Source organism: Homo sapiens, chromosome 10 (genome assembly GCF_000001405.40).
Source record: "Homo sapiens chromosome 10, GRCh38.p14 Primary Assembly".
NCBI lineage: Eukaryota > Metazoa > Chordata > Mammalia > Primates > Hominidae > Homo > Homo sapiens.
In genome coordinates this window covers 114,674,862-114,701,750 of record NC_000010.11, presented here as the reverse complement: position 1 = coordinate 114,701,750, position 26,889 = coordinate 114,674,862, and the positions used below count along the sequence as shown (strand labels likewise).

Sequence of the window (26,889 nt, the reverse complement as noted above, 5' to 3'; positions counted from 1 at the left end):
CCTCTCACTCCCAGACAATCAAGGTCCTAATTAGATTAGCCTTTTCTAGAACTTCACATAAATTGACTCATATACTACGCACTGTTTTGTGTAAGGCTTTTTCCACTCAGTGTAAGGTCTGTGTGATGCCTCCATTTTGTTGTGTATGGGAGTAGTTCATTCCTTTTTATTGCTGAGTAATATTCCATTATATAGGTATATCACAATTTGATTATCCATTCTATTGATGGACATTCTTGTTGTTTATAGCTATTTACTAATATGAATAAAGCTGCTGTGAACATTCTTGGAAAAGTCTTTTTTGTGGATTTATGTTTTCATTTCTCTTGGTAAAAGATCTAGATGTGGAATTGCTAGGTCGGAGGGTAGGTGTATATTTATAATAAGAAAAATTGTCAAACATTTTTCAAAAACTGTTGTAACCATTTTATATTCTCACTAGAAATGTATTAGAGTTACAATTGTCTCACATCCTCACCAATATTTGGTATTTTAATTTGGCATAGTGGTATCTTGTTGTGATTTTTACTTTGCATTTACCTCATGGCTAATTATTTGAGAACTTTTTAATGTGGATAATGGTCATTTGCATATCTAACCTTGTGAAGTATCTATTCAAGTCTCTCTACCCCTCTGTTTTTAACCTGCATTATTTTTCTTATTGAGTTGTAGGAGTTTTTTTTAAAATGTATTCTAAATACAGGTTATATGTCTGCTTTATGTTTTGCACATACTTTTCTCCCAGCCTGAGGTTTGCCTGTTTATTTTCTTAATAGTGTCTTTTGATGAATGGAGTGTTTAATTTTGGTGAAGTTTAATGTATCAATTTTTATACATTTTTGTGATTTTATTATCCTATCCAAGGAGTTTTTGCCTAATCCCAGGATATCAAAGGTATTCTATATTTTTATGACACTATTAGAGATTTAGATTTTAAGTTTACATCTATGATTCCTCTCAAAATAATTTTTGTATATGGTGTGAGGTAGGGGTTGAGGTTAATTTTTTTTTTTCACAGGGATATATAATTGTTCCAGCCTCATTTGTTGAAAAGATTCCCTTCCTCATTGAATTGCACTGGGGCCTTTGCAAAGAACCAGTCAATCATTTATAAGTGTAGATCTGTTTCTGGAATTCCTATTCTGTTTCAATGATTAATTTGTCTTTCATTATGGCAATACTACATCATCTTAATTATGCCATGTAGAGTAAGTTCTCCATCTTTGAGTGTATGTGTGTGTGTGTGTGTGTGTGTGTGTTTTAATTGTTTTTGGCAATCCTAGGCCCTTTACATTTTCATGTCTATTTTAAAACCAGTTTGTCAACTTTTATCTAAAACACCTGCTGAGAATATTATTAGGGTTACATTGAATTCATGAATTAATTTCAGAGAAATAAGGATCTTATATATTGAACCTTATAATCCATAGACATGATATATATCTTTACTAATTTAGGTTTTCTTTAATTTACCTCAGTGATTATTTGTAGTGTTCTATGTAGATCATTCTCTCTCAGTGAGGTTTTACAAGAGAAGTAATCCATAATGCTCGAATGCATCCTTCATATGTAATGAATTAACTTATTGCTTATGCATCTGGAAATGTATTAGCTTGTTAGACTTCTTTGGTAGAATCAAGAGTAGAGTCACAGGTTGGATGTGGTGACTTGTGCCTATAATCCCAGCAACTTGGGAGGCTGAGGTGGGAGGATTGCTTGAGTCCAGGAGTTCAAAGACCAGCTTGGACAACATAGTGAGACCCCATCTGAAAAAAAACAAAGAATAGAATCATTAAAATAACTTTTTGCTTAATTCTCTCATGGATTGGGGCAACATCTTGCAATACTGTGGTATAATATCACAACCAGTATATTGACACCAATTCAGTCAAGATATACAACAGTTTCATCACCACAAGGATCCTTTGGGCTGCCCTTTTATAGCAGACATAACTGTTTATAAAAGTTTACTTTTTACTTCTGGATGGTAATACTATAATTCTAAATAATATGTTTGGATTTATATTTATTTCAACAATGTCTCTCAATTGGTTTTAATGTTCACTTCCAGAGTTTTATTAGTTTTAAATCTACCATTGATATAGAGCCATTTTATAACTCTAAATAATATACTGCTATTTTTTATCTGACTCTACATAATACCTTCTTACCCCTATTAGGTAGAATGAGGACATTATCACCCTTCCACCTCACTTCTCTTCTCCTACCCACACTTTCTGTCTTCTGACTGCTGTCAGAAGACACCTTACTTTTACATTGTCAAGGTTTATATATTTTAAATCTAACTTTTATGCTTTCTTTTTTATTATAAGTTGATTTTTAGAGCTGAAAACCAATATAAATTATCTGTAACATTAAAATTATGCAAATATTCTTCACTGCAGAAGCAGACACTGTGACTGGACCCTTAGAGAAGGAATTATTCTGAGCATTAAATCTGTCTTGCTCAAAGTACATGTTTAAGCATTATTAAAGCATCATCCAAGGGCCCTTTTCCAACAACCTCCTTTTTTTTTCTCAAAATTTTATGACTCTTTAGTTTGCTTCATATTTAGATTATGGTTTTTTATACAGATTTTTAATTTACATAAAGCTTTTAATTCCAATTCTTTTTTTTTTTTTTTTGCTAAGCAAAATGAATTTATTAATAGCATTACTAAGATCGTCCAGGCTCTGAATCATAACTTGTTGAATGAAATCTACTTTCTTGAAGATGTTTTCTTGGAGACTCTATCTTCTAATTTGGACTCACTGGCTTCTAGATCTGTTATATAGCTGTCACTGTGGGATTCCCCCTAATCCCATTTTATTTCTAAATGAATTCCACATTTTCTTGGAATCTGCAGTTTTCTTTTTGGGAATTAGTTTTTTCTCCTGTGTGAGTCAGTCTTCAAGTAATTTTTTTCAGTAAGGGTGCATAAGAGGTAAGTGGAATCCTTCCCTGTCTGAAAATTTCTTATTTTCTCCACATGCTGAATTGTTTTCTTCTGACTTCACAGTGACTGCCAAGCCTCATGGTAGTCTGAGTCCTTTTCCCTTCTTGGTAACCTGAACTGGTATCTGATAGCTTTTAGGGTGTTCTCTGTATGTTCAGAGTTCTAAAATTACACCAGTGTATGTCTAGCTATTTTGTCATTTTTCTTCATCCTGTCCAGCACTTAGTTTGTTCTTTCATTCTGAAACTTGTGTCTTCCTTCAGGACTGGAGAATTCTGTTTTTTTCAGTTTCTCTCCTTTACTTTCTTTGTCCTCTCTTTTTGGAACTCCTATTCAATAGATATTGGACCTCTTCCATATCTCTTAATTCTTTTTTTTTTTTTTTACATTTTTAATCTCCTTTATTTTGCTCTACTTTATGGGAGGGTTTCTTGACATTTTGTTTTCTAGCCTGTCTGTTGCATTTCTTTTTATTTTCATAATTGTTATTTTTTTATTTCTGTAAACTCTCTTTTTCTGTGATTGCTCTTTTAATTTTTTCCCAGATTAGCTTCATGGATACAGTTTGTTCTCAAATGCCTTAGAGGATATCAATTTGAATTTTTATTTAGTTCTTTTCTTCTGTTGCTTAAATTATCTATTTTCTCTAGAATCATGTGTTTGTGTATTCATCTTGGTCCAATTTTGTGCTTTTGTTTTCCTTAAATGTCTTAGTGATTCTTTTTTTTGGTATATGTTAATTAACTAATAGGGGGATTAATACAGAGATTTCTATGTGGGGGATTAATGTTTCCTCCTGTCTTTTTGCTGGTGTAATTTTCCTCTATAGTTGTATTAGTTTGCAACCACAAGAGATCTCTAAAATGTAATCTTCAGTATATTCAATAATATATTGATTTAAAATCATTACTTTAAAGCACTTATTTATCACATACCAAATGAAATGGCAAAATGATCTTTTAAAACCCTAAGGAAGATGATATAATTTTATATTAATATGAGAAGGTTTTGAGAACCAAGCTTAAAACTTGATGATATGAGGAATAGCTGGATTACTAAAATTGAAAATTAGGGCTATCTAAGTTAATGGATTTATTGATGGGCATAGGTTTTCTTTTTAACAGCAAATATCACTCTTGTTCTGTTTCTATTGTGTCATGATTTGGATACCTATAAACCCCAAATACCTAATTTGTTTTTAGAAGCCATTGGCACACACCCTGTGTGAAGTGAGCACCTCCTGACAGGTTCACGCTGTGCAGGTTTTCCTCCCTCCTACTCGCTGGCATTTACGGTGCCACTGCCCCGGGCTGAGTGGGCTGGCCCGGAGGCTGGCTCTGGTCCCCAGCCCCTACTGCTGGGCAGATCAGCTGCTTCGAAAACCGCGTGCCAGCTCCTGAGGGCTGATCACCACTTGCCCCAGGGCAGGAGAAGCCTTGCAGGCTGCCAGATCTGAGTTCTTTAGTTTGTACTTTTGAGTAACTGGTTGTGTCTCTGACTCAGACTGTTTTATGAGTGCCACTTAAATTCTCAAAAAACCAGAGTGGCCTTACTTAAGCTGTGATGAGCGGAGTGTGGGAAGGAAGGTGGGTTGGGTTGGTGGACAGTGAGGCTGAGAATTGTTTTTCTCTGATCCCATGGAGCAGAAATGAGAAGGGAAGGGGCGTGTTTTGTGTCTGACCTGGAATTTTGTTCTCTTCCTTCCTCCCCCAGAGTGCCCTGAGTCATGAGGCCGAGAGATTCAGATTACTGTGAATTCTAGTTCTTATTGAACCCAGAATGGACCAGAAGGCCTCAGCATAGCCCTAGGACTTAGTGATCCATTCAGCATCTGTTATGAGTTGAATTATGTCTCCTCCAAATTTCTATGTTGCAGCCCTAACTCCCAGTATCTCAGGATGTGCCTATATTTGGAGACAGGCTCTATAAAGAGGTAATGTAGTTAAAATAGCCTAATCCAGTATGAATGGTATATTAGTTCATTTTCACACTGCTGATAAAGACATACCCGAGACTGGGTAATTTATAAAGGAAAAGAGGTTTAATGGACTCACAGTTCCATGTGACTGGGGAGGCCTCACAATCATGGCAGAAGGTGAAAGGCATGTCTTACATGGTGGCAGGCAAGAGAGAATGAGAGCCAAGCAAAAGGAGAAACCCCTTATAAAACCATCAGATCCCATGAGACTTATTCACTACCATGAGAACAGTATGGGGGAAACTGCCCCATGATTCAATTATTTCCCACTGTGTCCCTCCCACAACACATGAGAATTATGGGAGCTACAATTCAAGATGAGATTTGGGTGGGAACACAGCCAAACCATATCAAATGGTGTCCTTATAAGAAGAGGAAATCTGGGCACAGAGACAGAGAGACCAGACACATCTGTGCAATGAAGCTCATCCATGTGAGGTCACAGCAAGAGGGCTGTCATCTGCAAGCAAGAAGAGAGGGCTTAGAAGAAACAAAACCTGCCATCATTTTGGTCTTGGACTTCTATAGCCTGTGGTATTTTGTTGTTGTCATCTTAGCAACTAATATAGCATTTTTAGCCAAGAAATCCTGCTTTGTTCCCTGCTGCCCTCTCCAGGGATGGAGGAGGGAGGCATTCCCTGGGTGGAGCCTGGGCAAGGAGCCCTCATCACTGGATCCTAAAACCTGTGTCTCTGATTTTCCATAGACACTGGGGCTATCAAGGAAAGATTTTTGACTCATCTTGCCAAGTTCTAAACTATTTGGATATCAAACTTGGGTAAAGACCTAGTGAGGAAATCAGGGAGGCTGTAGTTAGGAGAATTTCACAGGCATGCAGAAGTAATGTCATGTAGGATGCTAGCTGAGATGTGTGGATAAGCATCAGTTGCCACATTGATGGGGCGATGGCAATAAGAGTCTGGAAACTCTGTTTTCCCAAAGAAACTGACATCCTCATAATCTCTTACGATCAGAGATCAAAATTTGAGGTGCCTTGGTTTGGTTGTACAAAGCTTCATACATGGAAATCCTTCTTTCTGTTGGATGTGTTTTATTTCCAACAGAAATAAAATGCCATGGCATTGTCTCCAATGCCATTGCATTATCATTGCCATTTCTAGCAGCAGAATTCTTTAATTTGAAAAAGTTGTTGAATTGTAATGGACCCAGTTCTAACCTAAGTTTCAGGTCAGTGACTTTGTATAATTCATTGGCTCTCTGTGTCTCAGTTTTCCTTATCTGAAAAGGGGGATAATTATTGCTGCTCCCCAGTGCACAGATACATTATTTTGATGTTGTGGGAGTGGGGTTTGAATTTGTAGAAAGAGAATGGATTTCAAAAAGGCCTTCTTTCCCCCATTTAATTTGGTCTTGAGAAAATGATGTAGCCTCTCTGAGCCTCAGTTCTCTCCTCTATAAAATGGGGATAGTAATGGTTACTCCAGTGGGGGGTGTGAGTATTAAATGAGAACATATGGAGAGCACCTTATGTTGATTCCTGCATGTTTTAAGGGCTCTATAAATGTTAGCACTTGATGATGATATTTTAAAATTATTGAAATTACTAACAAAAGGTGAGTTAGTTGCTTTAGATACTTAAGTATTATGCTGTCCCTTAAAGGGGCATCTGCTTAACAGATGGTTAGTTGACCATTTAGCTAATGGAAAGCAGTGTAAGATTTAGGATAATGTATGGAGATGTAACTAGAGAATGAGGTCTTGTTCCTTTGACCTACATGCTAAACTCTCAGTACATACCATCAAGCAGGCTTCCTCTAACTGTAACATGCACATAAATTCCCCGGAAATCTTGTTGAAATGCGAATTCTGATTCAGTACCTGGAGAGTCCGGGTTGGGTGCTGACATTCTGCATTTCTAAGAAGTTCCCAGGTGAGGGCGCTGCTGCGGCTCAATGTCCGGGTTTTGAGCGGCGAGGTCCCAGAGAAGATGGTAGAGCTAGCTATGATCCCAATCTGTAAGTTCCACTTTTTATCAACCAATTATTATTGTCTATCAACTTACATTAAGCTTCAGAAACATTTCATTTTGACTTTTCATGTCAAATTCCCCAGCTCTTGCTACTTTCCTGCCCCTGGCCTCTCTATTTAGTACTTAATGTCTTTTTTTTTCTTGTTTAAAGAATAATAACAATAATGACTAATATTTGTCAGGAATCAGGAACTGTTTCCTTAAATTTTCACAACATCCCATGAGGTAGGTATCATAATTATCCCCATCTTACAGGTGAGAATATGGAGATACGTATAGATAAAATAACTTGCTAAATCACCCAACTAGTGAGTGGTAAACCAGGACTATTTTAAGAGTTTATTTAAAGGAGCCCTTTTGTAAATGAGAATCCCCAGGGATAGCTGGCATAGTGCACCCCCCTTACCAGTTTTTGTTATGCCCCTTTAGGTTTTTGTCACATTTTAGAAAATGTAGAGCCTCCCTTCCAGGAGCCAGCAACTGTGGCATTCATCCAGAATGCAACCCCAAGTGACTGCAGAGTCTAGGAAGTCCGTGATGTTTTCTCAGAGTGGCACCCGGGCCAGAACCCACACAGCTCAGCTGTGGTTTGCTACCTTATGAGTGAAGGCTGTAAGAATGAAGGTCACAGCCAGCAGACAGATCCTGTAGGGTGTGTTCACATCCTTTCCACCTGCTTCTTTCACAATTTGAGTATAAATTCAATTTTTATCAACCGAATATTATTTTCTATTGATTTACTTCTGGAGTACTGACTTCTGAAAACTTCAGAATATTTTTATTTTTCATCTTACATAGGCAGGGCTTTTGCTACTATTCTGCCTGTGGCCTCTGTGTCTAGTACTTTAAAAATGATTAAAATAGACTGGGCATGGTGGCTGATGCCTGTAATCCCAGCACTTTGGGAGGGCAAGGCGGGAGGATGGCTTGAGGCCAGGAGCTCGAGACCAGCCTGAGCAACACAGCAATAACCCAATCTCTACAAAAAAAAAAAAAAAAGTTTTTTTAAAATCAGCCAGGCATGGTAGCATGTGCCTGTGTCCTAGCTGTTTGGGAGGCTGAGGTGGGAGGATCACTTGAGCCTGGGAGTTCAAGGTTACAGTGAGCTATGATCATGCAACTGCACTCCAGCCTGAGTGACAGAGCAAGACCCTGTTTCTGAAAGAAAAAAAAAAAGAAATAAAAAGAAAGAAAGAAAAAACGCTTAAAATTATATCAGCAACAACACCCTACCTGCAAGCCTGCGCTTATATGGCTGTGCGCTGTGCGAGGAAGAGCTGCAGGGGATAGACCTGAACCCTATGATGGATGACAGGGACACGTCCTGTAGGGGCAATGTACTTGGCGATCTGGAGAGAGTGCACGCATGAGAGCATGTTGCTCAGAGCCTGTGGCTGGTCCACTCCTGCCTTGGCTACTCATTCTCTCACTTGCTGTAGTCACTTACACTCACAGGCCTTCATTTTCCTCCTTTTTAAAATGAAAGGATTGGGTAGGTTGGGGATTTTTCAACATGTGTGTTTATTTTTAGCTATGGAACCCTTTCTTCAGATGAAGGCTCACCTGGAAGCCCAGAAAATAAAGCATAAGAGCTGAATTTTCTTTGGTGGAAGTCGGACCCAGAACCAACTCTCTGCCTTCCCCGCGCTGCATCCCTCACCGATCCCAACACAGCCTCCTTCTTCTGTTAGCTAGAAAACAGCTGGCCTAGATAATAGGAAGCCTCCCTTTAGCCTCCACACTGTGCCTGTGCACTCAAAGGAATAAAACATGGGGTTTCAGAAAGCCAGTGTTAGGGAGGAGTATTTGCTAAAGGCAGTTTTGTTTCTAACTCCAGTGGCTGGTTATTATAAACCCTAAAATGATTCAGCAAGGTGTCCTTGGTGTTGACTTATTTATTTTGCAAGGTTTAAATGCATTTTTTTTGTGTGTGTGTGAGATGGAGTCTTGCTCTGTTGCCCAGGCAGGAATGCAGTGGCACCACCTCAGCTCACTGCAATCTCTGTCTCCCGGGTTCAAGCAATTCTCCTGCCTCAGCCTCCTGAATAGCTGGGACTACAGGTACCCGCCACCACGCCCGGCTAATTTTTTTATTTTTAGTAGAGACGAGGTTTCACCATATTGGCCAGGCTGGTCTCAAACTCTTGACCTTGTGATCTGCCCGCCTTGGCCTCCCAAAGTGCTGGGATTACAGCCATGAGCCACCACTCCTGACCCGTTTTTTTACTCTATTATTAAAAATACTTTATCCTTTTGAATTTAGACTTTTGTGACTGGAAGTTTCTTGTTTTGGAGATGATGGGGGGAAAGGTTTTTTGGGGAAATATGGAAGATCATTGCAAGGAACAGAGTAGAAAGGTTTTGTTTGTTTGTTTGTTTTTGACAAGCTCTATAATGTTGTGATGTGTATTGAGCAGACTAGCCTATCTTCCTTTGCTGACGCAATAATCTTGGAAGAGACAAAAGTTGAAAGGAGGCAGACACAAGACATGAAGAGTTTCAGAAATCTTTGAAATCTTTGAAAGTCTTTTTGAAAGTCTTTGGAATAATTAGTTCACTTGAGACCATCAATAAAATGCTTGCTTTCATTGGTGACTGGGTATGAATGTCTTACTGTCAGCAGAATTGTTAACTAGAGAGGGTAATACAGAATGTTAAATAAATTTGAAGTCTCCCAAATTAAACTGGAGAGCTGAATTGAAGTCAATGATCTGGAGTAGCATTCTTATTCTTAGTAGAATATGGCATATTTTCTCTTCCCACTGACTTTGAATGAAGCTTCCATGGAGAAGGTGGTGGAACAGCTTAGAAGTAATACACACTGAGTGAACAGTGCAGGAGAGAGACAATGATGTAGTAACATTTCTTGGGCAGGTATGTGTCTTCTAGGTGTTTATTCTGTTTTCCTACCCTTTCACAACAGCAAAAATCTGTATTAAATGTAGCCTTCTGGGTATAGCACAGTTGATAAATATCCTCTTTCATTCTCTGGGGGTGAAGCTATGTGTGGAATATTTTGCAATTGCTGTGGTCATGTATCACTCATGTGCCAAATGAAAATGGTAATGAATGTGGAAGTTATAAAAAATCCACACTAAAGTAAGTCATTATGATTTAACCCAATGCTTCATCTGTTTACAATGAAAGAACATAGAATCTCCTTGTTCTGCAGTAATTTGTTTCCTTTTAGACTTTATCATTACAACTTTTTCAAAGGCACCAAGAGTGGAATCCCCTGATTCCTGCAACTTATTTGCATCAAATGAGTCACCAAAGAGAAATGCCTGTTGTTTTTGCAGGGAATACAGCATGCATTTTAATCCTCTCTAACATAGCAGACTGGGAGGGAGTGAGAGGCAGAACGAAATGGATAAAAGGGAGAGGAGAGAGACATAGAAAGTCCATCACTGCAACTTCTTAGCTGTGTATGCAAATGTAAAAACTGTTTTATGGATACCACTAAGTGCATTCCGCTTCTAGTTATTCGTTTATATGAAAAAAATTCATGCAAATAACAGCATTGATATTAATTAATTGGCATCCACGTGTATTCTTTCAGCAGAGCTACAAGAAGAAGCTGTGAGAATGTTGAGGTGGAGCCATTGATCACGTCTCATAATAGCACAGAGATCAAGACATAGAGATCCGAGTTCAAATCTGTGCTCTTCTGCATACAAGATGTGACTCTGAAAAAAATTACTGTCTTTAGGCTTAGTTTTCTCATCTTTTAAAGAGGGATTCATAATTGTCCTTATCTCCTAAGGTTGTTAGAAGGAACAATTGAAAGATGCATGTCAGAAATGTTTACTATAGTCAGAATAACTATTTGAAAAATATTAGCCAGGGCCTGGCGAGGTGGCTCGCACCTGTAATTGCAGTACTTTGAGAGACCAAGGCAGGAGGATCAGTTGAGGTCAGGAGTTCGAGACCAGCCTGGCCAACATGGCGAAACCCAGTCTCTATTAAAAATACAAAAATTAGCTGAGTGTAGTGTTGCATGTCTGTAGTCTCAGCTCCTTGGGAGGCTGAGGTGGGAGAATCACTTGAACCTGGGAGGCAGAGGTTGCAGGGAGCTGAGATCGCACCACTGCACTCCAGCTTGGGCAACAAAGCAAGACTCCATCTCAAAAAAAAAAATAGGCTTTTGCAGACGCTGCCGCCACCAGGAGCCCTGTAGTATCAGCCATAGTCAATCCCACGGTGTTCTTCAACATTGCCATCAATGGTGAGCCCTTGGGCTGCATCTCCTTTGAGCTGTTTGCAGACAAGTTTCCAAAGACAGCAGAAAACCTTCGTGTTCTGGGCATGGGAGAGAAAGGATTTGGTTGTAAGGGCTCCCGCTTTCACAGAATTATTCCAGGGTTTATGTGTCAGGGTGGTGACTTCACACGCCATAATGGCACTGGTGGCAAGTCCATCTATGGGGAGAAATTTGATGATGAGAACTTCATCCTAAAGCATACAGGTCCTGGCATCTTGTCCATGGCAAATGCTGGACCCAACACAAACGGTTCCCAGTTTTTCATCTGCACTGCCAAGAGTGAGTGGTTGGATGGCAAGCATGTGGTCTTTGGCAAGATGAAAGAAGGCATAAATATTGTGGAGGCCACGGGGCGCTTTGGGTCCAGGAATGGAAAGACCAGCAAGAAAATCACCATTGCTGACTGTGGACAACTTGAATAAGTTTGACTTGTGTTTTATCTTAACCACCAGACCCTTCCTTTTGTAGCTCAGGAGAGCACCCTCCACCCCATTTGCTTGCAGTATCCTAGAATCTTTGTGCTCTTGCTGCAGTTCCCTTTGGGTTCCATGTTTTCCTTGTTCCCTATGCCTAGCTGAATTGAAGAGTTGAGTTAAGTTTATGATTATGAAATTAAAACTAAATAACTATAAAAAGTTAGCCCCATTTTGGGGTGGTGGTGGCAGATGCTAAGGGGCAGCATCAAGCAGTGATTAGGATAAGCATCAAGTCAGGAAATGGATTCCCATGTACTCACTACTCTTCCCTGTCCAGCTTATTGTTGAATGTAGAGAGTCCAGTTTTCTGTGTGCTAGAAATTTCATCTCGAATCTTTTTTTGAAAGATACTGATCATAAAGAGAAAAAAAAAAGGAAAGGAAGGAGGCAAGGAAAGGAAAAGAAAAAGAATTAACAGAAAAAGTGCGGCCAGGTGCGGTGGCTCATACCTATAATCCCAGCACTTTGGGAGGCCACGATAGGTGGATCACTTGAGACCAGGAGTTCAAGACCAGCCTGGCTAACATGGCGAAACCCCGTCGCTAATAAAAATACAAAAATTAGCTGGGAGTGGTGGTGCACACCTGTAATCCCAGCTACTCGGGAGGCTGAGGCATGAGAATGGCTTGAACCCGGGAGGTGGAGGTTGCAGTGAGCCGAGATCGAGCCACTGCACTCCAGCCTGGGCAACAGAGTAAGACTCTGTCAAAAAAAAAAAAAAAAACCAATATACAAAAAACAAAAATGGTGGGTGAACTCTGTCATCTTCATTTATTCTAAGGTAGATAGGATGGGTATTATTGGCCCATTTTACAGATTTGGAAGACAGGTGATTTGCCTAGGATCATTGGTGAGCTGATGATAGGACCAGGACACGAAGCTGGGTCTTCTGCCTCTTCCTGGTCTGGCACATGCTGGATGGCAATTTCTGCCTGAACTTGATAAACTGCCCTGTACAGTAGCCATGAGGTGAGAGAAGCAGCCTGCTACGATGGCCTCCCTCTCTGCAGCCTCCGTAGAGACAGGGACTACCCATCAGCCGTCTTTGTGAAAGAGATTAATTCAGGAAAATCTCTTGAAAGCAGAATGTGACTCAGAAAAATGATTCTTCTGACGTCAATAATAAGAACCCCTCCCTGCACACATACAGTCTTTGAGTATTCAGACTTTTTGGAAAAAGCATAAACAGCCTTTGGGTATACGCTAAATTTTTGGACTGCTGAACTTGTCTTTTATATCACCCTACCATTACTTCAGGCATGAAAATGGCTTTGGCATCTTCTCTGATTACTGATTCATCCAGAGCTGTTTTAATATTCTTGAGAATAGTTTTAGCATCCTGGGCACAGTCTCTGATTCTAGCTGCTTATGTCCAAATCCCAACTGTACTCCTTGTTAGCGGAGTGACTTTGGGCAATTTCTTTAACTTCTCAACTTTTCTTTAATTGCCTCATCTTTAAAATGGAGACGATGATGGTCCCTGTCCTAGAGGGTTATAAGAAATCAATGAGGGAATCTTTGTTCAATGCCTACAGAGAGTGAGCCCTCGGTCAATGTGAGCTATGAACAATAATGAGGCCATTGTCTTTGCAGTTTATGAAGCTTTGCAGTTTATGAAGTTTATAGGACCAATGATTTGGGCTTATAATTGAATATGATTGGCGTACAAGTTCAGGAAAATGACAAACATTACTTTTTTCCTGTGCCTTTCTAGATAAAGTCTAGACGTTTCTTGATTACATGAGTTTTTTCATATAAAAAGAATAATTAGAAGCGGAATGCACTTAGGGACCGTATGTAATAGGGGTTGATAACAGAAAAGCTCATGAAGTTTCATTTCCAGTCACAAAAATAATTTCATGGGACCCACCTGGAAATTATAAGCAGAAATTGGAATGAATATTAGCACGGAGGACGTAGTTGTGTGCTATAAGGACCATTTCTAGGTTAAGCTTTCTGTTTAAGTGTGTGGTGAACTGCACACTCCTTTTATTAGGTTGGGACAAAAGTCACTGCATTTTTTGCCATTACTTTCAACGGCAAAAACCACAATGACTTTTGCCCCAACCTAATAGTTCTGGAAACTGCTCTCCAACAAAGTTGTATAGCTGAGCTTGGGATGGGACCAATGATTTGGGCTTATAATTGAATATAATTGGAAGACAAGTTCAGGGAAAATGCCAAATCATTACTTTTTTCCTGTGCCTTTCTAGATAAAGTCTAGAAGTTTCTTCTTCCTTATTGAATCTGACCTTTTAAGAAATTTAGTTTTTATCTTTCCCAAAGGAATCATTTTTCATGTGGAATTCAATTTGCTTCAAGTTTCTGTCTCTTCTGCTTAGTTTAAAAGATGAGGCCAAGGCCCTCTGAATGTTTTGTTACTGATATCTGCTATTTTTCACTCTCAGCCCTGTCATAAATTACATGGTGGTAAGCTTTGTCTCCTATTCTGTAATTGCAAAGCAGGCCTAGGCGAGGTCTTTTAACATAATCTGTTGTAAGGTATCCTGTTTGCCTAAGAACACAGCAGCATCTGTGTTACCAGGGTACGACAGCATCACTATCGGTCATACCTTAATTGCAAACAGAGCCAAACATGTTGGCCTATTGTAGCCATTCAAAATGTTGCAAGGCAGAAGAGAATTGTTCTCCTTATATATCCTCTGCTGGCCTTGGGCAAGTCCCTAAATTTTTGGCTTTGAAACTTCTTATCTTTGAAACTGTGATGGAAATTATCTCTAAAACCCTTTCTAGCCCTCTCCTTCCTCAGAGAAATGTTTTCCAAGCTCTGTTTTGTGAAAAGTTCATAGTTGTACTGGGTTGGGGGTTCTCTGGTTGAATAAATTCAGGAAATGCTTCTTATCTTATTTATCTCTTAGTTACAGGCACACTTGCATATTAATACATAGTAAGTCCATGGTTAAGAAAACTGTTTAACAATATTTAATTAAGCATTTCTCAAATACAGGTGAAGATGCAATTTTAAGCATTTGTATTTGTTTTGCTAAGTGACGGTCACTTTCCTGTGAAGGGTTCTAGAAGCGTGGTTGGGAAAGATTTCTGCTCTGTGTTTTTAAGATAAGGAACACACAACCGTGTCTCTGATTTCAAAATGACATGGTATAAGCTCCATTGCTATTTAATTAGAAAGTGGTTGTTTGAGGCCGGGCACTGTGGCTCATGCCTGTAATCGCAGCACTTTGGGAGGCTGAGGCGAGAGGATTATTTGAGTCTGGGAGTTTGAGACCAGCCTGGGCAATATAGGGAGACTCTGTCTCTATTAAAAAAAAAAAATAGCCGGGCATGGTGGCACATGCCTGTAGTCCCAGCTACTCGGGAGGCTGAAGCAGGAGAATCACTTGAACCTAGGAGGTCAAAGCTGCAGTGAGCTGTGATTGTGCCAATGCAATCCAGCCTAGGTGACAGAGTGAGACTCTATCTCAGAAAGAAAGAGAGATAAAGAGAGAAGAAGGAAGGGAGAAAGGAAAAGAGGAAGGAAGAGAGAAAGAAAATTGTGCATTTTAAACAAGTTTCTAGGCAGTTGGTTTCACCTCTTTTGTTTTTGTTTTTTTTTTTGAGACGGGGTCTCACCCTGTCACCCAGGATGGCATGCAGTGGTGTGATCATGGCTCACTGCAGCCCCAATCTTCTGGGCTCAAGCAATCCTCCTGCCTCAGCCTCCTGAGTAGCTAGGACTATAGGTGCAGGCCGCCATGCCTGCCTAATTTTTTTTTTAATTTTTAGTAGAGACAAGGTCCTGCAATACTTTCCAGGCTGGTCTGAAATTCCAGAGCTCAAACTATCCTCCCATCTCGGCCTCCCAAACTGCTGGGATTACAGGCATGAGTCACCACACCTGGCCAGTTTCTTGACTATAATAAATCATCAACCAAATTGTGGTTCAACTAACACAAGTCAAATTTGGAGGACTATGATTAGGAAAGAATCACTTTATTGCTTAACATTCAAAAAAATCAAAGTTTCAATATTGGATTGCCTGCTCCCCCACTTTGCCCCTGTCCTGCCTTGTAAAAGGCAAGGAACCAATGCAATGCAGGTTATTTTTAAACTAGCACCCTATTTTAGCCCCTGAAAATAGCTGTAGCTCTGTACTTGGTTTCTTCTCTCATTTAATATCAAGTAGGAATAATACTTCGAGATTTAAAGGAGTAGGAAAAACTAGCCTCCATTACATTTTAAATGCAGGCTAACAAGAATAAAGAATGCAACGATGAAAGACTTCCATCCTTATGGTAAAAATCCCAAGACACTAACAAAAAACACATTAGGCTAAAATATGGAATCACTATCATGAGAATGCAAGGCATTAGGTGTAATCAGAAGATTTCAGTTGATGCGACTGGCCTTTGGCAGCAGCTGACACATGACAGCTCTGCAAATGGCAAGCATTTTATCAACGAGCAATCCAGTTGTGATTCTTTGTCTGGCGCCTGGTGCTACAGCCAAGTCAGGAGGACGTTATCAGAGGCACCAAGTTCCAGGCAGTAGCCTGGACCAGGGGAAGGGCACATAGGGTGACCCATGAGGATGGCTGTCTACCCGAGTCATTTCAAAACAAAATAAAAAAGCCACTTAGCTGGGGAAGAGAGTAAGCCAGGACTCTTCAATTAATCAAACTTTGCATTTGGCCAATGTGTTTCAAATAGTCTTGTTTTCCAGTGGATTGATTATAGGCCTTACATTAAATTAATATCTCACAACGGGTGCTGCTGGTTACATCTTTATTGGAGGAATTAAATGTTTTACCCTCACATTTAAAGCAATTATGCCAGTTTCCTCCTATTTCTTAGCCAATGTGTGTATCTGATGCCAAGGATATTTGTCCTAAGGGTCTTTTTCCATTTAAACTGTCTTCATAACTTTTCCAATATGCAAAATTCCCGGTGTTCAAAAATAACTGTGAGAAAAGTTGGATTGTGGGTGGTGGATAATCCAGCCCAACATCAGGGCATTACTGACGAAAGGAAAAAAATGCCTCTTTCCTGAGTCTTTCCGGATGAGGTCATTGTTTTCAGACAGCTTGTATACCTAATATAAAAAGGCTCAAAGTCCACGGCTCGTCTCATACCAGGAGTTTGTCAGGGAACTGTTTCCAAAGCCATAATGAATAATCAGGCTGTTAGTAAAAGAAGCCTCTCCAAGTTATAGCATTTTTTAAAAATTCTAGTAGTGAAGAAAATAATTAAAAGCCCATCTGGTTGAGATAGTAATTCATTAAGGAAAAAGAGGAGGCAGAAGGCTGGGGAATAATCGATCCTTTTCTTTCTTTATTTCATGTGTTTCAGTTATTGTGAAATGATAGTGATCAAAATCTGGATTCTGGATTGTGCAGAATGCAGGAAAATCCTAGGAACATTCTTGGCGTGTTCTAATAGTGGCTTCCCAGAAACGAGTGTTTTCAGTGGGTGTGGCGTCATTGAGCTGATGTGCTTTTGCAAGGGGTCTCTTTAGAAGTGGTAGGGGCAGGGTCGAGAGAAGAAGGGGATGCAGAATCTGTACATGAGGAAGGAGCCAGAGTCACTCAGGAAACTCCTCATTCTTCCTGCGCTGGCTGTGGCACACCCACCGGTGGCACACCCCTCCCTCGGGTCCAGTTCAGCCCACAGACTCCTGGGAGGAGAGCCAGGGCCCCAGCCTCTCCTTTGAGGAGTGTTGCAGCCTTTCTGTGTGCCAGATGCCTAGTGAAGAAAAGCTGAAACCCTGGAGCTTTGTGCATGTTAATGACCTTGGAAATGACTGAGCTCACGGACCCTCATCACACCATGGGAGACTACAAAGGTTAGACCGTCCATTTTGTAAAGTCAGCATATATTCTGTCTGGGGTCGACCGTGTCTTTAAAGATGAGGAAAGATGCAGGGCTTTTCCATTTGATAAAATTGTTTTACACTTATGATAATAAGTAAAAGATTGTTTTACAATCTATTTCTGTGATAGTACATATCTGTATAAAATGCACATCTTATTTGTCAACATATTTACATATATTCTTAATATAACAGGATGTTAAAATCGACATGACTCTTTTGTAGCAGTAGCCCAGCTCAACTCAACCAACAGTAGGTTGGTCCTTTGGGCACATTAAAAGGCATCTTCAGTGACTGTGGGCAAACACCTGTGATCCTATTTCTGGGCATTTTGTTTGAGTTTGGATGTCATCTCTAGGATGCTTTCCCTACAGTTGTGTTTGATGGGAGAGTTTGTTCCGTGGTGAGGCTGGCTGGCTTCAGGAGTGCCCCGGCTGGTCCTGCTCAGCATCCCCAGGGGCCGACAGCCAACACCACGTCCAACAGAACTGCAGAGGGTGGCCCCACGCAGTCTCACAGGCTGCTCCATTGAAACCTAGGGACTGTGGCGATCGGTTGCTGATTCCTTTGATACTGGACCCCTTAAGATAAGAGAGTGTAACTTATTTTGGTTCCTGGAGAGTAGACTCGTGGGTAATTCCAGATACGGCAGGTAGGCTGGGCCCCCTCCCTCCTTCACTTCCAATCTCGCCACTCTTCTCTGTTTCGCAGGACCTCCGGTGAGCTTGGGTTTGCCTTTGTACCCAGGACTGGTAGGACTGGGGAGCCGGGTCTGCTACACTTCACATGTATACACTTGTTACGAGGTACAAAGGAATCTGAGGTTGGCACACGCTGTAACTGATGAATAATTCATGGTGGCTTTTTATGCCACACAGTTTTCTCCTGTAAATGAGCATGATTTTGAAAGACTATGCTGATTTAAAAGTCCAGTAATGTGGTTTCCTATTCCTCACTGACCTGCCTTGGACGTTTACTGGAAAGACGAAAGTTGACAAACATTAGAATAGGAAAACTTAAAGTGGACGATGGCCCCACGTGGGTGGTCAGCCAAGAACAGCCCTCCCCTGTTCTTTCTAAAGGATAACGTCACCTCAGGTTTACACAAGATTCTTTGACATTCTGGACTTTCCTCAAATATAGAATTTGAATTTTAATAAGGACACTATGCATATTAATTAGAATGCATTCGTGTATTCCTGATACATTTAGAGTGGAAAACTATGATGCTATGTCTTTTCCAACTGAATGGGGTCCTAGTGATAAAATTAGAATATCTCAAGATGTCTAGATGTCTTTATTTAAATGAATTTAAAGTCCTCTGTTTTTCTTGTACTGTACAAAGAGTGGATTTTAGTTTGGCTTTCCAGAAAGATAGGGCAGGTTTTGGAAGAAATCTTACACGCAGAGAGACTGTAAGTAAACAGAGTAAGTGATACATCTAATTATATTTTTAGTGGTCAAGCCAGAAAGAACAACGTTCTTTCTCTTCCTTGTTTTTTAACTACTCTCCTCCCTTCTACTCCGTGGCATATTTTTAAGGTATTTGGAGTCTTTCCACTTGCTACCAGCTGGAATCTACAGAAACCGTATCTCTAGAACACTCAGCAGTTGACTTGAAGCTCAGTCATAATTAAATTGGAAGTTGGCAAATTATTCCAAGACTTAAAAACAGGCACACCTTATGTTTGGAACATAAGGGGTTTTGCTACTCTGCATTGTTTTAAATGTACTCTCTATAGGGAATATGGGCAATACTTTTAATTAGCTTTTTTTAAACAAAAGGATATTTTGAAAGGATATGTAATAAATAAGTCTGACCCTGCTTACATTTTATTTATTATTCTCAGTAGCTGGTTCCCGGATGTTTTAAAACAACAGCAAAGCTTGCAGCTGTTCATCCATCTCTCTTTAGTAAGAGAAGATCATCCTGTCCTTTCTCTCCTGGCACAGCTTGAAAGCATTAGCTAGTTAGGTGGCTGCTGATTTAAGACTTTGATACAGTGACTTACAACCTTCTGCTCTAAAGGATATACTTAGAGCTAGTGTTTGTTTACAATTAATAGTAATTTAGGACTTTGAGATAGTCAGCCGTTAATTTTATATTAAAATCTGACTGCTGACATGTATGTCTCCATCGTTAACATAGTTTAAATATTGGGGTGGTAGCCAGGATAGCAATTCAGAATATTGGGATTTTACAAGACTTATCACTAAATGTCATTCATTTCCAAAAAGAGGGAAAATGCATCGTGCCGATTAGCACTACTTTTAGGTTTCATATGAGAGAATGGAAATGCCAGACAGGTTTTCCTGCTTCCAAAGGCAGTCACAGCTGCCACTGCAAATGAGCGCTGCCACAGTCGGTGACCAGTGGGTCAATCAGAGCATGACATTGCCAGGAACGTGCCCCAGGAGTGGGAGCAGGCAGCATGCTCGGAGAATTGGGCACTGGATTTCCATAAAACAGTCAGCAATAGACTGAGTCTTAGGAGCTTCTGTCTGAGTCATAGGCTCCCCAGGCTTGTGACCACACCAGGGTACCTTGAATATCTTCCTGGAACAGGAACTCCCCAAGCCTGCTATCACTCTTCTTTGTAATATTTTGCCTGGGAAACATATGTCCTGCTGTCATGTGAATTGAAGTGGCGTAGAGAGTTAGAAGGGGATGTAGTATACACAGTGCTCTTGGGAAAATGCCAGCATGTTCATGGGGTGGCATTATTTTGTGGGAAGCACATCCCTGGTGACTATTTTTAAATGGTTTAGGCCAGGCGTGATGGCTCATGCCTATAATCCCAGCACTTTGGGAGGCTGAGGCGGGCAGATCACTTGAGGTCAGAAGTTCGAGACCAGACTGGCCAACGTGGTGAAACCTCATTTCTACTAAAAATACAAAATTAGCCAGGCATGGTGACACACGCCTGTAATCCCAGCTACTCAGGAGGCTGAGGCAGGAGAATCACTTGAACCCAAGAGGCGGAGGTTGCGTTGAGCTGAGATCGTGCCACTGCACTCAAGCCTGGGCAAAAAGAGCAAAACTCTCTCTCTCAATATAAAAATTAAAATAAAAAATATATAAAATGGCTAAAATGGTCTGGTAGCCCCATTTTCCATATATAAGGTAATGCTGGTTGTATGACTAGCTAAATGTACCTGCAGATTCATGGATTAATCAGCCACTTCACTGATTGTGGCTCTTGGCCCCACCCACATCTTTATTTTTTTACATTTAGAGTGACTGTCACTGTAATAGTCTGTCTCTAATTGGTAGCTTCATCAGGGAGGGTCTCCTGGTGAGTCATAGAGCCATCCCTATACTTGGCATTGGAGCTGTTAAGTAACATTCTGCTGTAATTAATTTACAAGCACTTTTCAACAGGTGGCAGGCACCATGCTAGGGACTGTTCAGAATAAATCTCTGTCATTTAGAATGATAATCCTGGAAGGTCCACTGGCATATATGGGCAACTAACCAACATGAGACATTATGTAATGACCTGAGCAAGAGTGGAGAATGCAAGTGTTGGGATAAATGATGTGAGAGGATGTCATCATCTAAAGATGTTAGAAAGCTGGCTAGGGAAGGCCCGGGGGATCCTTCGGGATATAGATGACCTCGCTGGTTAGAAGGGGCAGATCTGAGCATGGGTCACCATGGCTCCAGTATGAAGGAAGGGTGCCTCTTGTCCTCAGAAACCATTTCTGCCCCTTCCACACTGCCAGAGCCACAGAGGATTGGGGATTTATTTTCCCCTTGCTAACATGATTGTTCTTTGGTAAATTTCAAAGTGATTTTAACAAATATAAATGCATAACTATGGACTTGTAGAAGGAAAGCATGCTCCTTTTGAGCATGATGCACTGGTGAAGTGCTTGAGCTCTAGAAGCAGAGAGATTTGGTCAGATGGCAGCTTGGACACCTACTAGCTGTGTAATCTTGGCCAAATTTCTCAACTTCTCTAAGCCTCAGTTTCCACATCTGTAAAATAGAGATAACAATACTGTCTGCTTTATAAGATTGTGAGGATGAAGTGAGAATATCTATAAGACTCATGGCACAGTGCCTCCCGCGTAATAATGAATGGGTTATATAATTGGCAATTAGAGTTCCATCTGGGAGATTCAGATTCTTGCAAATTATTTATAACGTTGAACAGTGCTATGAATCCAAGGCCTTGATTCTAGTTTGGTAATTTTATTTTAGTTTTATGTCTGTGTGTTTTGCTTATTTTTAATTATAAAAATCATGTAAGAATAGGCTTTCATTGTAAAAATTTCAAACACTACATGAGAGGCAAAAGCTCCCTTTGACCGCTGCCCAAAATTAGGGGATAACAACTATTAGCTGTTTTATTTATCTATTTTATTTTCATCAAAGTAATCCATATTCCTAGTTTTAAAAGGCAGATAGTGTCTTCTCGCATGAATGGGAGACAAAGGAATGAGAGAGCCAAAGAGTATAGAGTTTTTCTGGCCTGACTTCTTAGGATGACGAAAACTGGGGCATTTCTGTTCCAGAATGTGGCATTTCCCAATGAGACATTTTGCATTTTTATGTTTCATGGTTGAATAAACATGCAATTTATTAAAAGGTTTAAGATATTTCTTTTTTTTTTTTTTTTTTGAGACGGAGTTTTGTTCTTGTTACCCAGGCTGGAGTGCAATGGCAGGATCTCGGCTCACTGCAACCTCCACCTCCAGGGTTCCAGCAATTCTCCTGCCTCAGCCTCCTGAGTAGCTGGGACCACAGGCACACGCCACCACGCCCGGCTAATTTTGTAATTTTTAGTAGAGACAAGGTTTCTCCATGTTGGTCAGGCTGGTCTCAAACTCCCGACCTCAGGTGATCCACCCGCCTAGGCCTCCCAGAGTGCTGGGATTACAGACATGAGCCACCACTCCCGGCAAGGTTTAAGATATTTCTAACTTGGCCTGTTTGGTGGGGAGAAAATTAATAGCAAACAACAGGGGTCTGGCAAGCCCTCAGAAGAGCAGGCAGCACACTTTTTCTGTAAAGAGCCAGATAGTAAGATTTTAGGTTTGATGAGACATATGGTTGGTGTCATGCTGCTTTCTTTCTCTTTCTTTCTTTCCTTCTTTCTTTCTTTTTCATCATGCTGACACAGAAGGGCAAGACAGCATGTAGAAATATGCGTGACCTCTTGACGGCTAAGTTCATAACTGGCACACTGTCACTTCTTTATTCTATAAGCCAGATGAGTCACATCATCAATTCCAGTCTCAAAGTGAGAGGGCATTCAAAGTTACATGGCAAAGGGCATGGATATAAGGAGGGGTGATAAATTCAGCCAATGATATAATCCACCATAGCTTCTATGCAGTACCAGTGGTATTGGCATGAATAGACATGCACTGAGACTCAGTGAAATAAAATTATTATGCTCAGTTAACCTGAAATACTTTATTCTTGGTTTAAAAAAGAAAATAAAAAGACAATCTAACCCTAGGGAACTTTCTAACAAACTCAAGGAAATGGTACACAGATGAAACCAATGAATAAGATGTTTATAGAGCAAACAGCTAAGAAATACAAGATTTGAATGCTTTGTGTGATTAGCCTAAAGCATACTTTTTCTGTGAAGGGCACAATAGTAAATATTTGAGTCTTTGTGAGCCAAATGGTCTCTGCTGCAACTACTCAAGTCTGAGATTGTAGCACAAAAGCAGCCGTAGACAATACATAAATAAATGGACATGGCTGCTTTCAACAGAACTTCATTTACAAACACAGGCAGCAGGCATTAGTTTACAGACCACTGCCCTAGACTACTGAAAGAAATAAGAAAGAGTCAGCTGTGGAAGACTTCTTGAAAAAGAATCCGTGGTTTCAAAGGCGATAAAGATTAGTTTAGCTTAACGAGACATGCTTTAGAAATGAAGTCAGAAAACAATTATATGATTGTTCAATAAATTTGCCAACAGGTTAATGTAGTTAGTTCAGTCAGAATGAAAACAATAATGAAAACTCATCATTCTTTCAAAATATTACTTGGTACTAATTATTTCTGCTCTAAAACCCTGTTTGAAAACCTGTTTGCTAAGAACGTTCATGTTTTTGCTTAGCTGGAGAATGAGGAAAAAAAAAAGGATTAGAAATAAAATGAAAGAAATACCTAATTAAAGTGATTTGATTTTATGCCACTTTAAAACATTTATTTGATTGATATGACCTAGATGTGTGTAAAGGAACTAAAGGAATTAAAAAAGAATGGTTGATTTTTAACCATCAGGAAACCATGCAAATTCAAGTGAGTATTTTTCTATTGTCAGTTGTATTTCACCTAGATTTTACTCACCAACTTTCATGTGTTTCCTCTCCATGTTTGGAGATAGAATGAAGCCTGGAATACTGTTACAAAATGAACAGTTTTTTGCTAGAAATCTTTAATACCAGTTTACTCAATTACAGTCAGCTTGTAGTTGGGAACCTGTAGTTAGATGATTTCTTTTTTATTTTTATTTTTTTGAGGCAGAGTCTGGCTGTTGCCCAGGCTGGAGTGCAGTGGCGCAATCTTGGCTCACTGCAACCTCCACCTCCCAAGTTCAAGTGGTTCTCCTGCTTCAGCCTCCCAAGTAGGTGGAATTACAGGCGCATGCCACCACACATGGCTCATTTTTTGTATCTTTTGGTAGAGACGGGGTTTTACCATGTTGGCCAGGATGGTCTTAAACACCTGGCCTCAAGTGATCCTCCCACCTCGGCCTCCCAAAGGGCTGGGATTACAGGCGTGAGCCACTATACCTAGCCAGTTAGCCAGATTTCTGCTGATTAAACCCAGATACAGAAGAGTTTGGAGTGTAGCTTTAGGAAAGGTGGGAAGGCAGAATGCTCCTTGGATAAGAGGCTTAATGCTATCAATATTTTTCTCAGGCTTTATACTTTTCTCAGGTATTTCTGGGTTTTTTGTCCTGACAGCAATGTCATAATACACACAGAAGAAGGGGCGTGAGGGGGATTGTTTTATTTCATTCATTTCACTATTATATACTGAGCTCCTACTATGTGACAGTCACCATGCTAGGACCTGGGGATACAGTCATGAGAAAGGTGGCTATGAGTCTTCCCTTTGTGGAGCTCATAGGCCAGCAGCAGTGGCAAACAAGTGGACCATAGCATGCCAGGGGTTCCAGGAGGGTCCCCCAGAGGGAGGGAACCAGGCTTTTCAGAAGTAAGAGGGATTTTTCTTGAGGTAGATAAACTTGGCCAGGCACGGTGGCTCATGCCTGTAATCCCAGCACTTTGGGAGGCCAAGGCAGGGCAGATCACCTGAGGTTAGGAGTTTGGGACCAGCCTGGCCAACATGGAGAAACCCCGTCTGTACTAAAAATACAAAAGTTAGCCAGGCATGCTGGTGCACGCCTGTACTCCCAGCTACTCAGGAGGCTGAGGCAGGAGAATCGCTTGAACCCAGGAGGTAGACGTTGCAGTGAGTCGAGATCATGCCACTGCACTCCAGCCTGGGTGACAGAGACTCCATCTCAAAGAAAAAAGCTTCATACTGATTTTATATACATATGATTAAAATAAAACCGCACAGTGAAAGGACTTAGGAGTCTCCATTCCTAGTCATTAAGCCTGAGATTGGCAATAAAATTTAAAGGAATTCTTGAGGGGTTTTGAGAACACAATAATCTGAAATCCCCCGAGTTTCTTGGGAATACCATTTCCCCAAGAAACATAATCGTATAAATCCAGTCTCATGGTTACTGATTGTTCTCTTACATTTTCTTTTTTTTTGTTTTTTTGAGACAGAGTCTTTTTTGAGATGGAGTCTAGCTCTGTCGCCAGGCTGGAGTGCAGTGTCGCGATCTCGGTTCACTGCAATCTCCGCTTCCCGGGTTCAAGCCATTCTCCTGCCTCAGCCTCCCGAGTAGCTGGGATTACAGTCACGCACCACCACACCCAGCTAATTTTTGTATTTTTAGTAGAGACGGTATTTTGCCATGTTGGCCAGGCTGCTCTCAATCTACTGACCTCGTGATTCACCCACCTCGGCCTCCCAAAGTGCTGTGATTAGAGGCGTGAGCCATCGCGCCCAGTCACATTTTCTTTTCATTTGTTGTTATACCAGTTGTGTTTCCTTCTTTTCTTGAGAAGTCGTCTTGCCCCACTGTCAGGTAATTTCCTTTCTTCTGGTTATGCATTGAATTGTGTCCTCACAAAGGACGCTGAAGTCCTAATCGCCAGTACCTGTGACTGTGACCTTATTTGGATCACCTTAACAGACCATCAAGTTAAGATGAGGTCATGAGGGTAGGCTTTAACCTAACATGAGATGTCGTTAAAAAAAGGGAAATTTGGATGCAGAGATGGACATGCATAGGTAAAAATGGCATAAAGACACAAGAGAACCATCTCCAAACCAAGAAAGGCCTGAACCTACCAGAGAGTAGCAGAGAGGAATGGAACAGATTCTCCCTCACAGCCCTCAGAAGGAACCGACTCTGCACTCTTTGACTTTGAATTTCTAGTCTCCAGAACTGTGAGACAGTTTCTGTTGTGTAAGCCACCCAGTCTACGATACTTTGTAATAGAAGCCCCAGAAAACTAGTACATCTTAGCTAATGCATAAGGTCCTGGTAAGCATGACAGGAGTTGTATATGTAAATACACGCAAAGGCTAGTGGCTGGTGTATTAGTCTGTTCTCACACTGCTATAAGGACATACCTGAGACTGGGTAATTTATAAAGGAAAGAGGTTTAATGGACTCACATTTCCACATGGCTGAGGAGGCCTCACAATCACGGCAGAAGGCGAAGGAGGAGCAAAGTCACCTCTTACATGGAGGCAGGCAAGAGACCATGTTCAGGAGAACTGCCCTTTATAAAACCATCAGATCTTGTGAGACTTATTCACTATCACAAGAATAGCATGGAAAAGACCCACCCCCATGATTCAGTTACCTCCCACTGGGTCCCTCCAGTAACATGTGGGGATTTGTGGGAGCTACAGTTCAAGATGAGATTTGGATGGGGACACAGCCAAACCATATCAGCTGGTACATACTTGTCATCTTATTGTAATGTAGGCTTCAGCTTGGGAGTCATCAACATGGGGCTCTCTACCCAATGATGACAGCTCTTCAATGATTGTGGATACTTGGCGACATAGGGTGAATGGAACATAGGGAACATAGGGAACATCTGGGACATAGGGATGGGCAAGATATTCCATCTCAGGACATAGGGAGCATTTGGTTATAACCACGCTGATACAGAGGACTTTCTACCATTATATGATGGCCATGGAAAGAGCCGTGTGCTCATATAGCAAGAGAGCCAAGAGAGGTTCTAAGGAGAAAGATTAGGTCAGGGAATTCTGGGCAGAAACTGCCTGAGATCCAGCCTCCCACAAACTTTCATCTTTAAAGATTTT

General features: G+C 40.7%; 1 protein-coding gene and 1 pseudogene across 28 annotated transcripts in view; both read left to right on the top strand.

Annotated features, from left to right (window-relative positions):
* The window catches only part of ABLIM1 (actin binding LIM protein 1), a 370,264-nt gene that overhangs the window by 99,623 nt on the left and 243,752 nt on the right, over nucleotides 1–26,889 (top strand). For 4 of the 28 annotated variants that reach the window (XM_047425243.1, XM_047425233.1, NM_001322882.2 and 1 more), the window contains exon 1: nucleotides 16,748–17,461. The exons of 21 other annotated variants lie outside the window; for them this stretch is intronic. In XM_047425243.1, the coding sequence (XP_047281199.1) occupies nucleotides 17,398–17,461 (64 nt within the window). In that variant the 5' untranslated portion in view covers nucleotides 16,748–17,397. Of the gene's footprint in view, nucleotides 1–16,747; nucleotides 17,462–26,889 lie in introns of those variants that run through there. 3 more of the 28 variants (NM_001322887.2, NM_001322883.2, NM_001003407.2) reach the window with 1 other exon arrangement.
* Nucleotides 11,068–11,808, top strand: PPIAP19 (peptidylprolyl isomerase A pseudogene 19; annotated as a pseudogene).